Source organism: Homo sapiens, chromosome 9 (genome assembly GCF_000001405.40).
Source record: "Homo sapiens chromosome 9, GRCh38.p14 Primary Assembly".
Classification (NCBI taxonomy): Eukaryota; Metazoa; Chordata; class Mammalia; order Primates; family Hominidae; genus Homo; species Homo sapiens.
In genome coordinates this window covers 21,085,908-21,100,760 of record NC_000009.12, presented here as the reverse complement: position 1 = coordinate 21,100,760, position 14,853 = coordinate 21,085,908, and the positions used below count along the sequence as shown (strand labels likewise).

At 38.2% G+C, this 14,853-nt stretch overlaps 3 annotated features.

Annotated features, from left to right (window-relative positions):
- Positions 3,977–4,271: an enhancer, noted in NCBI's record as "tiled region #8746; HepG2 Activating non-DNase unmatched - State 24:Quies, and K562 Activating non-DNase unmatched - State 24:Quies". NCBI's record gives its function as "activates a minimal TATA promoter and a strong SV40 promoter by Sharpr-MPRA in HepG2 and K562 cells {active_cell/tissue: HepG2 | K562}" and the evidence as "EXISTENCE:reporter gene assay evidence [ECO:0000049][PMID:27701403]".
- Positions 3,977–4,438: a biological region, named in NCBI's record as "Sharpr-MPRA regulatory region 8746".
- Positions 4,169–4,438: an enhancer, noted in NCBI's record as "active region_28231". NCBI's record gives its function as "activates an Ori minimal core promoter by ATAC-STARR-seq in GM12878 lymphoblastoid cells {active_cell/tissue: GM12878}" and the evidence as "EXISTENCE:reporter gene assay evidence [ECO:0000049][PMID:35858748]".

Genomic DNA, 14,853 nt, shown 5'->3' with positions numbered 1-14,853 from the left:
GTTATGAAAAACAGTACGGTGGTTCCTCAAAAATTAAAAATTGAATTATTATATATCCAGCAATTCCACTACTAAGTATATATCCAAAGCAAAAGTACTCACAGTAGTCAAAAGATAGAAGTAACCCAAATGCCTATGGACGGATGAATGGATTTTTAAAAAATGTGGTCAATACATATCATGGAATATTATTCAGTCTAAAAAAAAGAAGGAAATTGTGACACATGCTGCAAGAGGATTCTGGAGCACCGTACACTAACTGAAATAAGCCCATCACACATATAAACAAATAGTATATGACCACTTATTATCAGGTATCTAGAATAGTCACATTTATAGATACAGAAAGTGTAGGATTTTGGGAAAGGGAGAAACAGTGAGTTGTTAATAAGTATAGGGTTTAAATTTTGCAAGACGAAAAGAGTTCTGGAGACTATTTTCACTACAATGTGAATATAGCACTACTGAACTGCACCCTTTAAAAGTATCTAAGGTGATACATTTTATGTTATGAGCATTTTACTTTAATTAAAATTTTAAAGCATGGTGGCTCATGCCTATAATTCCAATGCCTTAGGAGGCCAAGGTGGGAGGATAGCTGGACGCCAGGAGTCCGAGGTGAACCTGGGCAATATAGTGAGACCCTGTCTCTATTTAAAAATTTAAAAAGTAGCCACGTGTGGTGGCATGCACCCATAGTCCCAGCTACTCAGGCGGCTGAAATGGGAGGATTGCTGGAGCCCAGCATTTGGAGGCTTCAGTGAGCTACGATTGTGCCACTACACTTCGGCCTGGGCAACAGAGCAAGACATTGTCTCTGAAAAGACAGATAAATAAGTAAAGTAAGTTTTTTTAAAGCGCTGCACAAACATCTGATTATCATTATATTAATGAGGCTAAGATCATGAGATCTGTTCAGATTCTGAAACAGTATTTAAATTCTGGCTTCCCACTGATTAATTGTTTGACCTTGGAAAATATGCTTAACATTTTTGAGCAGCCTCAGTTTCCTTCTCTATAGAATGAGAATAATAACATCTTTTCTGTAGGATTGTTGAATTGATTACATGAGATAATGTATGCAGTACAGAACAATACTTGGCCCTTAAACTGGATTATCATTAATGTTGCTATTAAAACTGAGAAAAGTCTAATGAATTTGTCAATCAATACCTTGGTGATCATGAGTTAATCAGTAATGAGTTGATCATAGACTGAGTCCTATCTCTGCTTAGTCCATTGAGGTAAAGGTTGGCGAATCACAATGAAGCTTCTTATTCAGGAGCAAAAAGTCTACTTGACTGTTCAAAGTGGAGTAAAAAGAGCAAAGCAGGATGAAGCTCACAAAAAGATGGATAAGCAGATGCAAAGTTAAGTAACTGCCCTAAGGAGTGTTACTTTAGAGAACTAAAAAAGATTTCTTGAGTTTATTTATATTTATAAAAAATACATGAATGTATTGTCATGATTAAAAATTAGAATAATTCATACAAGTGAAAAGTCATATTGACCTGTTACCATCCCAATTTCACATAGTTAATACTTTAATGAGTATCCTTTTAGTCATTTCCTCATTTATTTAATAAATTTATACATATAGAAATATTCAGTGGATATTAAGTGTGTTTGTATTTCATAAATATCATGTTTCTTTTTTTACTTAATAATAGATCTTAGAGATTTTTTCTATTAGTAAATAAAAATCTACTGAATTGTTTTTAATTGCTTTATTATACATTTATACATAAATTCAATGCATTCCCAAACAACACGTCAACAAGATTTTTAATTGGAATTTGACAAGCTGACTACAAAATGTATCAAAAAATAATACATCAGAAAATCTGAGAAAGGAATAAATTTACAGAGGGACTTGCCTTGTAAAATATAAAATGATCTTGTAAGACTGCAGAAAGCGGGATTATTGCAAGAATAGAGAAATCGGTCAAGAAAACAGAATCAAAGTTAAGAAGAAGAAAATTGAATTTATTGTTTCTTTGCATACAGTAAAAGTGGCTTTTCAAACCAATGGGAAAAGCCCATGTTGGGACAGTCAACTAGTCATTTGGGGGAAAAAAAGCCTAATCCTTGTGTTACATTCTCACAGATTCTCCTTGCTGCTATAGGCCTAGTTCTACAATAACGAATGTGGAGGCACTACACACCTGCTCGAATGATCAAAGTTCAGAACGCTAATGGTACCAAATGCTGGCGACATGTGCAGCAATGGGAACTCTCTATCATCCTTGTAGGAATACTGCCCTACAGATTTCCAATTATGTGGACTGAGCAAATGTCTTCATTATTTTAGACTCAATTAGCTAAGTTGTCTGTTACTTATAGTAGAAGGCACTCTTAATAGATGCAATAACATTTATCAGAGTTAAACTGGTTCTAGCCTTGGTAGGCTAAGGTATTGCTTTTTAATTAATGTGGGAGTTTATTGGTACCTTGTGAGATCAGTATATTTTTTCCCTTTGTCACATACTAATAATTACATGAACAGATTATCGTATGCTACCATTGTATTCTTGGTTACATTCTAGTTTTTTATTTACAGCACATCTTTGGGTTTCACTTCCTAATATTTAACATGGTACTTTTATCTTCATGTTTATAAAAGTGTCCTATAATTTGTTGGCTGATCTTATTATCTGCGTTGTATGATTTTATTCTCATAAAATGAATTGGTTAGTTTTCCATTTGCTTCTATTTCCTGTTAAAACGGGAACTAAGTATGTTTTACTGAATAGACTTATGACATAATTTGCCACTTTGCTGTCTCTTCAAGGGCCTTAATGAGGAACTATATTAAAATTTAAAGACTTTTGATTATGGATTTGCATTTCTTTTGGATGCCAAGAGAGTCAGAGAAGGGGCAAGAAGACTCACATGTGTTGGGGCTACATTTATCTAAAATAATATTTAATGTTCTTTTCAACATAAATTGTATTCTCTTTTGAATTTTATTTTCCCTTTGTTCACATTGCCCATCAATGTGCTCATGAGATAGGTGGAGCTCAAATTCTTGTCAAGAGAATTCATTAAATGAACCCTCAGCAAACATTGCCAAGACAACTCCTTGATATCTGACAGTCACAAACTCATTGAAGCATATATTGCAGCATTATATTTATTCAATAAACAATACTTAACTTTTTACCATTGGCTACTGTGCTAATGACTGGGGAGACAAAGTTCAGATTTAAAACACGAATCTTCTGGAAAAGAGAGGATAAAACAAAACATCGATTACCGAACAGAATGATGAGTGTTCCGCAAGTGCTGAATTTGCAAAGAGCCATAGGCTCAGAACAGGGCGTAAAATGGAGAGACATCCACAAGTAACTAGCATTTTAGAACTGATGGAAGGATGCAAATGACATTGAAAATTTTGGAAAAGGGGAGAAAGGACAGAGATGTGCAAGTCATTTGAAAGCAAGAGCTAAAGCAAAGAGTTGGCAGAATTGCACATTTTCTAAAAATAAGAAATAAGTGAAAAATGAGAGCTAGGAATAAGACCAAGTTTTCTTCCCTCCAGGGGTCCAGAGTGAGAGATGGGAAAGGCCAACCAGGCCTTGAATGTTCCTACTAGAACTCAAGGAGCAAAATGCTATTTTGGGATGTCATAACGGGGAAAGGAAACAGACCTCTCGTTGCCCAGTTCCCTTATCTGTAAAATTAAGATAACCACAGTCCTACCTCATAAAACTGTGGTGAGGATTAATTGTTTAATTTATATAACATGCTCAGAATGATGCCTGGCACTTAAATAAGGCTGCTTACATGTGAGCTCTCCTATTTGAAACTGATTAGAGGATTATTCCCTAATGTTCTAGGTCTGCAGGAAGGTGAGGTAATTTCAAAAGAACTAGCCAGGAACTTTTTAATGCCAGCTCAACTACTCACAAGGGAGAGGCAGAAAGAGCCATTCACTTGGTGACTGAGCCAATCATTTCGCAGCAAATATCCCAGGATGTAGACAGAAGCACTGCTACCTGGCACACACACCAGCTGTCTACAATGGCACACTTTACCTCTTGGTTCTCTCTACCTTTCGAGGAGCTAAATGTTTTCACTAAAATAACAGAGGCATCTTCCAGGCAGCCAGAAGAATCTTCTGCTTTGTGAAGATAAGCAGCACTTGCCTCAGGCAAGCACCAGGGCAAAGGGGAATACCCGCTCCATTCTTCAATTCCAATTCGACAATTCACATTTAGTTTCCTTTTCACTTGTTGCATCACCCTCATTGTTATTTTTGCACCACCTGGTTCATCGTACAGCCCCTGATGATGAAATAAAAATGTAATTGGTTGTAAGTTTTAATGATGTACAGGGTTTTGGTTTCACTTTGTAGAAGCACCAGAAACTGCTTCCAAGATAGGAAGCACCCACAGAAAAACCAAAAATAGACATGTCCACGTGTTTGTGAAGGGAATGGAGCTGGTGCTTATTCAGCAGCTGCTGTAAGTGTGTTGTCTGTGTATTCTCTTCTTAACCCTAGGCCTGGCTGCATTTACCCCTGAGTATGGTTGTGAGGATTAAATAACATACAGCTCAGAGAAATGCCTGGTATCCAAAGGGAAAAGTAAACCCAGGCTGGAGGGTGACTGAAGACTGTATTGGATAGGGCCAATGTGGAGCTTCTAGCAGAGGGAGTCCAGGTAGCACCTGGTAAGAAATGTTGGGTGGGCAGCTGTAGGGGCCAGGGGAAAATTAGCCCTTTGACCTCTGAAGCTTCACTGAAAAATCATCTGACAAAAGGCAGATTAATAGGCAAAAAGCCATACAAATTAATTGTATAGTAGTTTCATGTGACATGGGAGCCTTCAGAATGAAAGCCCAAAGATACCATTTTTATGCTTAGGTTAATGAAGAATTGGACAGCTATGTAGAAAAATGACTGGACAAAAAGGGCATGATCTAATGCTAATAGACTGAGTGAGGAAGCCTAGCAAGGCCTGTCTGTCTAGATTCTTCTGGGTTTGTTTGTGCAACATTCCTTACTCTGGGAATGGGGCAGGGCCCTCTCTGAATGGAGTTATATTCTACCATCAGATAAGGCAGGTCACATAATTTCCTTATGGTCAGCTTTTACACAGAAAGGCAAGGAGGAGGTTGAAGTAATATGTTTAGGTTTTATGGCTGGCTTTGGGGAAGGGAATTCTGGTTTCTATGGCCTGCCTTGGGAAGAGGGATTCTAGAGAGATTCTAGAGAATAAGGGGCCACAGAGAGAAGGGCAGGAGAAAGTCAGAGAAAGTTTTGCTTCTGAGGCTGCTTCTGTGGCCGTCATTTTGGGGGATTGTTTCCTGAGCCTCAGCACAGCCCTTGTGCGTCCCTGGGCCATCAATCCATTGATGAGACCATTCCAACTGTGGCTGGCGGTGAAGACTGTAGGACCCTCTGGTTGTGTTTGCATAAGGCAGAAGTTGTCATTAGTGTGGGAAAAAAAAGTAGTGCCTTTTCTCACCTATTGCTAGGTTCATGGTTAATACCCCTATAATAAAAGAAGATTAACAAGAGAAAACCATAACTAATTTTTTAAACTAATTTTCATGGGAGACAAGAGGCTTTAGAAATGAAGATCCAAAGACCCAGAGAAACTGTCTATTTTTATGCTTAGGTTTAATGAAAAATGGACAGTCATGTAAAAGCATATTGGACACAAAGGGGATATGAAGTATTGTTAATAAACTGAGGGGGGACTTAGGAAGGCCTGCTGTTCAGATTATTCTTGGTGTCCCTGTGTCTTTATTCCTTTCCTCCAGAAGCAGGGAAGGACACCTGTCACATGGGGGTCTTACGACATACTTTCAGGGGAGATAGGACAGATAATTATCTTATGACCAGCTTTCACAAAGAAAGGTGAGACAAAGTCAGTGAATGACCTTCTTGATTCTGCAGTTTTCTCAATGTCCAAGGTGCCGTTATTTTAATATCATGTCAGGAATCCCGACATTAACAAGACAGGCAGAGCCCCCGTGAAGTGGCCTAGTCTCTCCTGGATTCTTAGGTGACAGAACGGAAACTAACGAATGGATCTAGTCAAAGGCCTTTGACTATGACAAGACATCCAGGATGTGGGAAAGGGAAAAGGAACAGAGAAATGTCTGAAACCAGTGGCACATAGATCTCAGCGGCATGCTCTGCCTCTTCACACGAGGTCGGAGGTCTGAAGGTGGATTCCCTACCCAACTAGCTGTTGGCTTGCGGTTATAAAGCCCAGCATGGAAAGAAGCAGCTTCAGGAACTGAATGAGGGTGAGAGGGAAACAGCAGGTTGAAGAGAGAAAAACAATTCTTCTTTTTCCTTCCCCTGAACTTAGGCTTTTCCTTTGTAATTCCCAAGTTTCACAGGAACTTTCTTGGTCACTGAGCAAAATTTTCCAATGTAATTAAGACTTTGGTGAGATTACCCTTCATTTTATTATTGTGGAGGGTACTGTTTTTGAACGAAGCTCTTCTGCCTTTTGCGTCCTCATTACCTCCCTTCCCCATGCTTTTCCAATGGACTTTTCTCCAAATGCAATCTGAAGCTACACCACAGTCACTACCCATGGTCAGGAAAATTCCACATTTGTTTTCCTGTGATTTAGAGAAGACAACCAATAAAACTAGAGATTAATACTATTATATGCCAAATTAACCACCTAAATAGGCTCTTGTAAATCTTATCAACATCAGCAGTTCTCAACTGTTTCGGTTTCAGAAGCCATCGACACTTAAAAATTGTGGACACATCCAAAAAGATTGTGCTCATGTGTTTCTATTTATTGATATTTGTCATATTAGTATTATAATTCAGGAAGTTTTAAATGTTCACTTAAAATAACAGAAAGACACATATACCTGAAATGTAATGAAAATTGGTCCCATTAAAAATTAGAACAGGTAATGAAAAAATAACTTTCTCTTCAAAATATAACAATAATAAAGCATAAAATACATTGGAATAAACTCAGAAACAATGCACAATACATATATCAAGCCAACAGCATAACTTTTTTGAAAGACATTTTTAGAATAGCCCAATAATATTCTAATATTCACTATTTCTATTTATGGAATGCTCAATATATATTATTAAATATCCTATAAAAATATAAATATTATTTACCAAGTACTTAATATTCATTAATACATTAATTAATAATAAATATTCATTAAATAAATGACTGTGTATTTATCAGGTGAAAGAAATAACTGCCTTGTCCTGGCCTTTATAGCATCCTGTTGCAGTCTGATTTCCCACCTTAATGATGCTTACCACCCACCATGTGCTTAAATGTCCCCTGCTCACTTACAAAAATAAAAAATGAGAGAAGTTGATTAATCTTCATTGGTGATCAAGGTTAAAAAAAAATCACTCTCAATTTAGAAATAACTATGTAGTAATATAATAGTTTTCATTGGTTTTTTGATCCTCTTAATTGAATTAAAAATTCAATTATAGCCACTTCTACATGTAAGGAGCTTGGAAATGGCCACTCTGGCCTAACAAGCTGAACAGACGTAAAATCCAAAAACTCTGTTTGGATCCATGAGAAGTGAGGACACAGAGACAATTACTACCTCCAAGATTGGAGAAACGGGCAGGCAAATCTGGAGAGTTATAGCTTAAACCAGAACAGAGATTCACCAGTGGAAACCACTAAGGGAACCAGGAAAACCTGGACTATAATTGATGAATTGGTGAAGGCTCAGTGTGGACAACTGAGAATTAAAAACTCAAGAGGACTTAGTTATAGGAGGGTCCTCATACTTTTTGCATTTTATGTCTAGGTGATTTAGCTGGTTCTCACAGGAAATATCAGAGAAAAATTCTCTAGTGCTTCCAGCAATAAAGGTGAGAATATTTGGATGCACTCCATTCCTCTTAACAAGGTCTGCAGTCAGAAAAAGCTAGTTGACTAGAATCTAATCTCCTGGAGTTTTATTAGAGCCTATTTTCAACTGACTTGAAGGAAGAAAAATACCCAACTCCAGCCAGTTCTAGCCATCCTGCTCCACCTAAAGGGGGAGGGAGGACACAGAAACACTTTCGAAGTTCACAGTCCAGAGGCACAGGCTCACTAAAAACAGAGACCTACTGGTAGGACTAGAGAACACCTCCCCTTCCTAATACCTTACTGTCACATTTTTAAAGGCCTATTTGCAGTAGTAAAATAACAAAGCATACTAAAATACAAAAAGACAGAATTTGAAGAGACAGAGCAAGCATCAGAACCAGACATGGCAGTGATGTTGGTATTATCAGACTGGGAATTTTAAACTATGATTAAGTGCTCTGACAGATAAAGTAGACAGCATGCAAGAACAGATGGGCAATGCAACCAGAGAGATGGAAAGCCTATGAAAGAACCAAGGCTGGGTGCGGTGGCTCATGCCTGTAATTCCCAGCACTTTGGGAGGCCAAGGTGGGCGGATCACAACGTCAGGAGATCGAGACCATCCCGGCCAACATGGTGAAATCCCTTCTCTACCAAAATACAAAAAATTAGCTGGGTGTGGTGGCGCATGCCTGTAGTGCCAGCTAGTTGGGAGGCTGAGCCAGGAGAATCACTTGAACCCTGGAGGTGGAGATTGCAGTGAGTCAAGATCGTGCCACTGCACACCAGCCTGGTGACAGAGGAAGAGTCTGTCTCAAAAAAAAAAAAAAAAAGAAAGAAAGAAAGAAAAGAAAAGAAAGAACCAAAAAGGAAATGCTAAAGATCAAAAACAGTCTGACAGTGTAGTGGAATCTTATAATTTTATGTTGCCTCAGCATCCATTTTGAATCTAAGTTTAACTTTGTCATACCAAAGCAGGGCTCAGTCACCCTTGGCACAGTTTATAGTTCTACACTACACCCAAATGGCCTAAGTCAGTGGTCAGAGAGAAGAACTTAGTGGCATCTCTCCCACCTAGCAGACTGGGCTCCCTGCTTTCTGGCCATTTCCTGTAAATCATTCAAGCATTTTCCTGTGAACTTAAAGTGACACATACCCTATTCCCTTATATATTCTGCCAGTTGCCCTCGTGATTTCTCTCGTTCTTTGCCTAACTCTTCATTCCTGCCTCATTACACCTTTCCTTCCTAGTAGCTATAAGAAAAGTCTTTGAACTTCTTGCCTATTGTGGTGGTGTACTAAATTTGAAGAAGTAGGAGTTGCCCCATGCCAGATTTTTTCTGGGTGGCTGGGGAGAAGACAAGTTCAGGCTCTTAGGACCAGGGAGATGGTCAGGCAGGCATAAGCTGTGCACAGGTGAGAAAAAATTCACACAGGCATCTGCCAGTATAAACAGGTTTCCCATGTGAGGGATCCGCTGGTCATGGGTTGGATATCTAACCATTATTCCATCTGCCAGGAAAAAGAACTGCCTCGTGAATGGCAAATTGTGAACACCCACGACCAGTTTCCTTTCATTTCCCATTAGGGCAAGGCTGCTAGCTGCTATGGTACTGGAAGCTGAGTTTAGACAGAAGTTCTCAGAAATCAAACAAAAAATGAAAAATGCCTTTGATGTTATTATTGGTAGACCAGACAAAGCTGAAGAAAAAAATTTCTGAGCATGAGGATTTATCAATGAAAACTTTCAAAACTGAAAAGAAAAGAGAATAAGATCTAGGAAAAAAAGAGAACAGAATTGCAAAGACTGTAAGATAACTACAAAATGTGTAACATACATGTAATGGAAATATCAGAAAAAGAAAACAGGGAAAGAAAGAGAAGAAATATTTGAACAACAATGACTGAGAATTTATTCAAATTAATGTCGGACATCAAACTACAGATGCAAGAAGCACAGAGAACACCAACTAGGATAAATGCTGGAAAAATTACACATAGGCATATCATTTCAAACTACAGAAAATCAAAGGTAAAGAATATATCCTGAAATAAACCAGAGGAAAAAAAATACCTTACCTCAAGAATTTAGAAAAAAAACACCAACCTAGGATTCTGTATCTTGCAAATTATCCTTCAAAAGTGAAGGAGAAATAGAGACTTTCTCAGACAAACAAAAATTGAGGGAATGTGTTACCCGTAGACTTGCTTTGCAATAAATTTTAAAAGAAATTTTTTTAGAGAGAGGGAAAATGATATAGATCAGAAACTTAGATCTAAATAAAGCAAATTTCTCAGAGAAGAAATAAGTGAAGGTAAAATAAAAACTTTTTAAAAAATCCTTAACACATAACAGTTTCTTCAAAATAAAAATAGCAACAAGTATAACTGATATGCTAAGAAATGAGAGAAAATAGACTTCTATAAAATGCTCAGTTGAAACCACAAAAGGCAGAAAAAGAGTGGAAAACAAAATTGGGAATGAAGAAAAAGAGCAACAAGTAGAAAACAGTTATCAGTATGGTAGATATTAATCTAATTACATCACTAATCACGTTCAATGTCAATAGTTTAAATGCACCATTAAAAGACAAAGCTTGGGTTGGGCACAGCGCCTCATCTTGTAATCCCAGCACTTTGGGAGGCCAAAGTGGGTGGATCACGAGGTCAGGAGATCGAGACCATCCTGGCTAACATGGTGAAACCCCGTCTCTACTAAAAATACAAAAAAAATAGCCAGGCATGGTGGCAGGTGCCTGTAGTCCCAGCTACTCGGGAGGCTGAGGCAGGAGAATGGCGTGAACCCAGGAGGTGGAGCTTGCAGTGAGCCGAGATCGCGCCAGTGCACTCCAGCCTAGGCAACAGAGCAAGACTCTCTCTCTCAAAAAAAAAAAAAAGAGCTTGTCAGAGTGGATCAAAAAGCAAGAACCAAATATATGTTGTCTACAAGAAATCCATTTTATTCTTTAAAAAAAATTTCCCAAACCAGGATACATTGTAATATAAAGTGGATATTATTAGACCAATGCAAATTTTGCATCATGCCAAAACAGTTCATTTAAATCATTACCACAGACAAGAAAACTATTTTATTGATAGCTATGGCTTATTACATCTGCTAAGATACAAGCAAAAAGTTCTAACTATTAATTTGAATTGGAGTCTCTAATTCTCTCAGATTCTGTGATGCATTGTAAAAGGGAAGCATGTAATTTTGGCAAAATAAAGTCACCCTTGACTTCATATATATATATTATATTGATATATATATATCAATATAATATATATTATATTGATATATATATATCAATATAATATATATTATATTGATATATATATAATATAATATATATTATATGTATTATATTGACTTTAATATATTATATTAATATATATATTTCAATATATTAGATATATTGAAATATATATATATATATTTCCACTTTAAACTTCATTCTGCCTTTGGGTACCATGGCCAAACATTCAGTTTGCCAAGAGAGACCTTGTTTGGAGACTGCTATTTTGGGTTATAGTGGACTCTTGAACAACATAGGGATTAGGAGTACTGACACCCGTGTAGTTAAAAATCTGTGTATAACTCTTGATTCCTCAAAACTTAACTACTAGTAGCCTACCTTTGACCAGAATCCTTACCTATAGCATATAGTTGATTGACATATATTTTTGTTATATGTATTATATACTGTATTCTTATGATAAGGTAAGATAGAAAAAAGAACATGTTAACAAGAAAATGATAAGGAAGAGAAAATATATTTACTATTTATTAAGTGGAAATGAATCACCATAAAGATTTTCATGCTTGTCTTCATGTTGAATAGGCTGAGGAGGAGAAGGGAGAGGAAGGGTTGGTCTTGTTGTCTCAGGGGTGGCAGAGGTGAAGAGGTGAGGAGGTGGAAAGAGAGGCAGAAAAAGCAGGCACAGTGTAACTTTATGGAAATAAATCATAATTTCTGTGTAACTTTTTTGCTTTTTTGTTCCTCTAAAAATTTTTATATATATGGTAGCAATCATTCTTCCATCATTTGCTTTAGTTGCAGTGCCCATGTTGTAGAGGGGTCCATGTCATAAAAGAAGCCAAAAGCAGTCTTGAATAATCAGAACTCTTCTGCCAGATTGTCTAATGCCAATTTGTTTCCTGGCACTTCTTCTCCTATATCTTCTTCCTCATTGTCTGGCACTGGTTCAGAAGCACTTATCTCTGTCAAGTCATCTTCTGTTAATGCCTCTGGTGTGGTGCCTATTAGCTCTTGAATTTCTCCAAATCTATATATTGAAACCTATCTCATTAAATTGATCTTCAATCTCTGATATCCTCTCTTCTGCTTGATCAGTTCAGCTCTTGTGTATGCTTCACGAAGTTCTTGTGCTGTGTTTTTTAGCTCCATCAGGTCCTTTACATTCTTCTCTAAACTAGTTATTCTAGTTAGCAATTCCTCTTTTATCAAGGTTCTTAGCTTCCTTGCATTGGGTTAGAACATGCTCCTTTAGCTCGGAGGAGTTTGTTATTACCCACCTTCTGAAGCCTACTTCTGTCAATTCATCAAACTCATTCTCCATCCAGTTTTTTCCCTTGCTGGTAAGGAGTTGTGATCCTTTGGAGGAGAAGAGGCATTCTGGTTTTTGGAATTTTCAGCCTTTTTGCGCTGGTTTTTCCTCATCTTCATGGATTTATTTACCTTTGGTCTTTGCTTTTGGTGACGTTCAGATGGAGATTTTGTGTGGTCATCCTTTTTGTCGATGCTGATGCTATTGCTTTGTGTTTGTTAGTTTTCCTTCTAACAGTCAGTCTCCTCTTCTGCAGGTCTGCTGGAGTTTGCTATGGGTCCACTCCAGACCCTGTTTGCCTGGGTATCACCAGTGGAGGCTGCAGAACACAAAGATTGCTGCCTGCTCCTTCCTCTGGAAGCTTTGCCCAGAGGGGCATCTGCCAGATGCCAGCTGGAGTGCTCCTGTATGAGGTGTCTGTCAAACCCTGCTGGGATGTGTCTCCCAATCATGAGGCACGGGTGTCGGGGACCCACTTGAGGAGGCAGTCTGTCCCTTATCAGAGCTCAAGCACTGTGCTGGGAGATCTGCTGCTCTCTTCAGAGCCAGCAGGCAGGAACATTTAAGTCTGCTGAAGCTGTCTGTGCCCACAGCCGCTCCTTGCCCCAGGTGCTCTATCCCAGGGAGATGGGAGTTCTATCTATAAGCCCTTGACTGGGGCCGCTGCCTTTCTTTCAGAGATGCCTTGCCCAGAGAGGAGGAATCTAGAGAGACAGTCTGGCTACAATAGCTTGGAGGCGCTTCAGTGGGCTCTGCCAGGCAGCTTTTTTTACACCGTGAGGGGAAAACTGCCTACTGAAGCTTCAGTCATGGTGGATGCCCCTCCCCCACCAAGCTCGAGTATCCCAGTTTGACTTCAGACTGCTGTGGGGGCAGCGAGAATTTCAAGCTAGTGGATCTTAGCTTGCTGGCCTCTCTGGGGGTGGGATCCGCTGAGCTAGACCACTTGGCTCCCTGGCTTCAGCCCCCTTTACAGGAGAGTGAATGGTTCTGTCTCACTGGCATTCCAAGCACCACTGGAGTATGAAAAAAAACTCCTGCAGCTAGCTCGGTGTCTGCCCAAATGGCTGCCCAGTTTTGTGTTTGAAACCCAAGGCCCTTGTGATGTTAGCACCCAAGGGACTCTCCTGGTCTATGGGTTGCAAAGACCATGGGAAAAGCATAGTATCTAGGCCAGATAGCACCATCCCTCACAGCATGGTCCTTCACAGCTTCCTTTGGCTAGGGGAGGGAGTTCCCCAACCCCTTGTGCTTCTCGGATGAGGCAACACCCCACCCTCCTTCTGCTTACCCTCCATGGGCTGCACCCACTGTCTAACCAGTCCCAGTGAGATGAACCGCGTACCTCAGTTGGAAATGCAGAAATCACCCGCCTTCTGTGTTGGTCTCGCTGGGAGCTGCAGACCGGAGCTGTTCCTATTCCTACAGTAAGTTTTATTCGTTCATGTTTTTATGTTATTAACTAGAATCCTTTTACTCAGCTTGAAGAATTCCTTTTAGCATTTCTTGTAAGTAGGTATAGTAGTGCCATCCTACCTCAGCTTTTGTTTGTCTTGGAAAGTTGTTATTTTTCCCTCATTTCTGAAGGTCAACTTTGTTGGGTAAAGTAATCTTGGTTGGCAAAAGAAACTTTTAAATATATTAAACTAAATGAAAATAACACAACTTAACAAAATATGTGGAATCCAGTGAAAGCAGTGCCTATAGGGAAATTTATAGCACTGAGTGCTATATTAGAAAAAAAGAAAGTCATAAAAATTAATCACCTAAGCTTCTGCTTTAGGAAAGTAGAAAAATAAGAGCAAATTAAATCCAAGGTAAGTAAAAAAAAAAAAAAAAAAAAGAAATAAAAATTAGAGCAGAAATCAATAAAATTGAAGACAGTAAATCAATAAAGAAAATCAACATAAAAAGTCTGGTTCTTGAAAAGATATATAAAATTGATAAGCATCTACCTAGGATAATTAAGGAAAAAAGACAGAGGACACAGATTACTAATATCAAACATAAAAGCGGGAACATCACTGCAAATTTTATAGGCATTGAAAGCATAATAAAAGAATACTATAAACTATTCTATAACTACAAATTTGATAAGTAAATAGAATGAACCAATTCCTTGAAAGACATAATCTGAAAAATGTAAAAAGAAGAAATAAACAATCTGAATAGCCTATATCTATTAAATAAATTGAATCAGTAATTAATAACCTCTCAAAACAGGAAGCACAATGCCCAGATGGGTTCACTAGTGAATTCTATCAAATATTTAAAGAAAAAAAAATTGTATCAACTTTCTACAATCTCTTTCAGAAGACAGAAGCAGAGGGAATACTTCCTAAATCATTCAACTAGGCCAGCATTACCTTAATACCGGAACTAGAAAATGACATTACAAGAAAAGAAAACAACAGACCAATATCTCTCATGAACAAAGATACAAACATTTTCAACA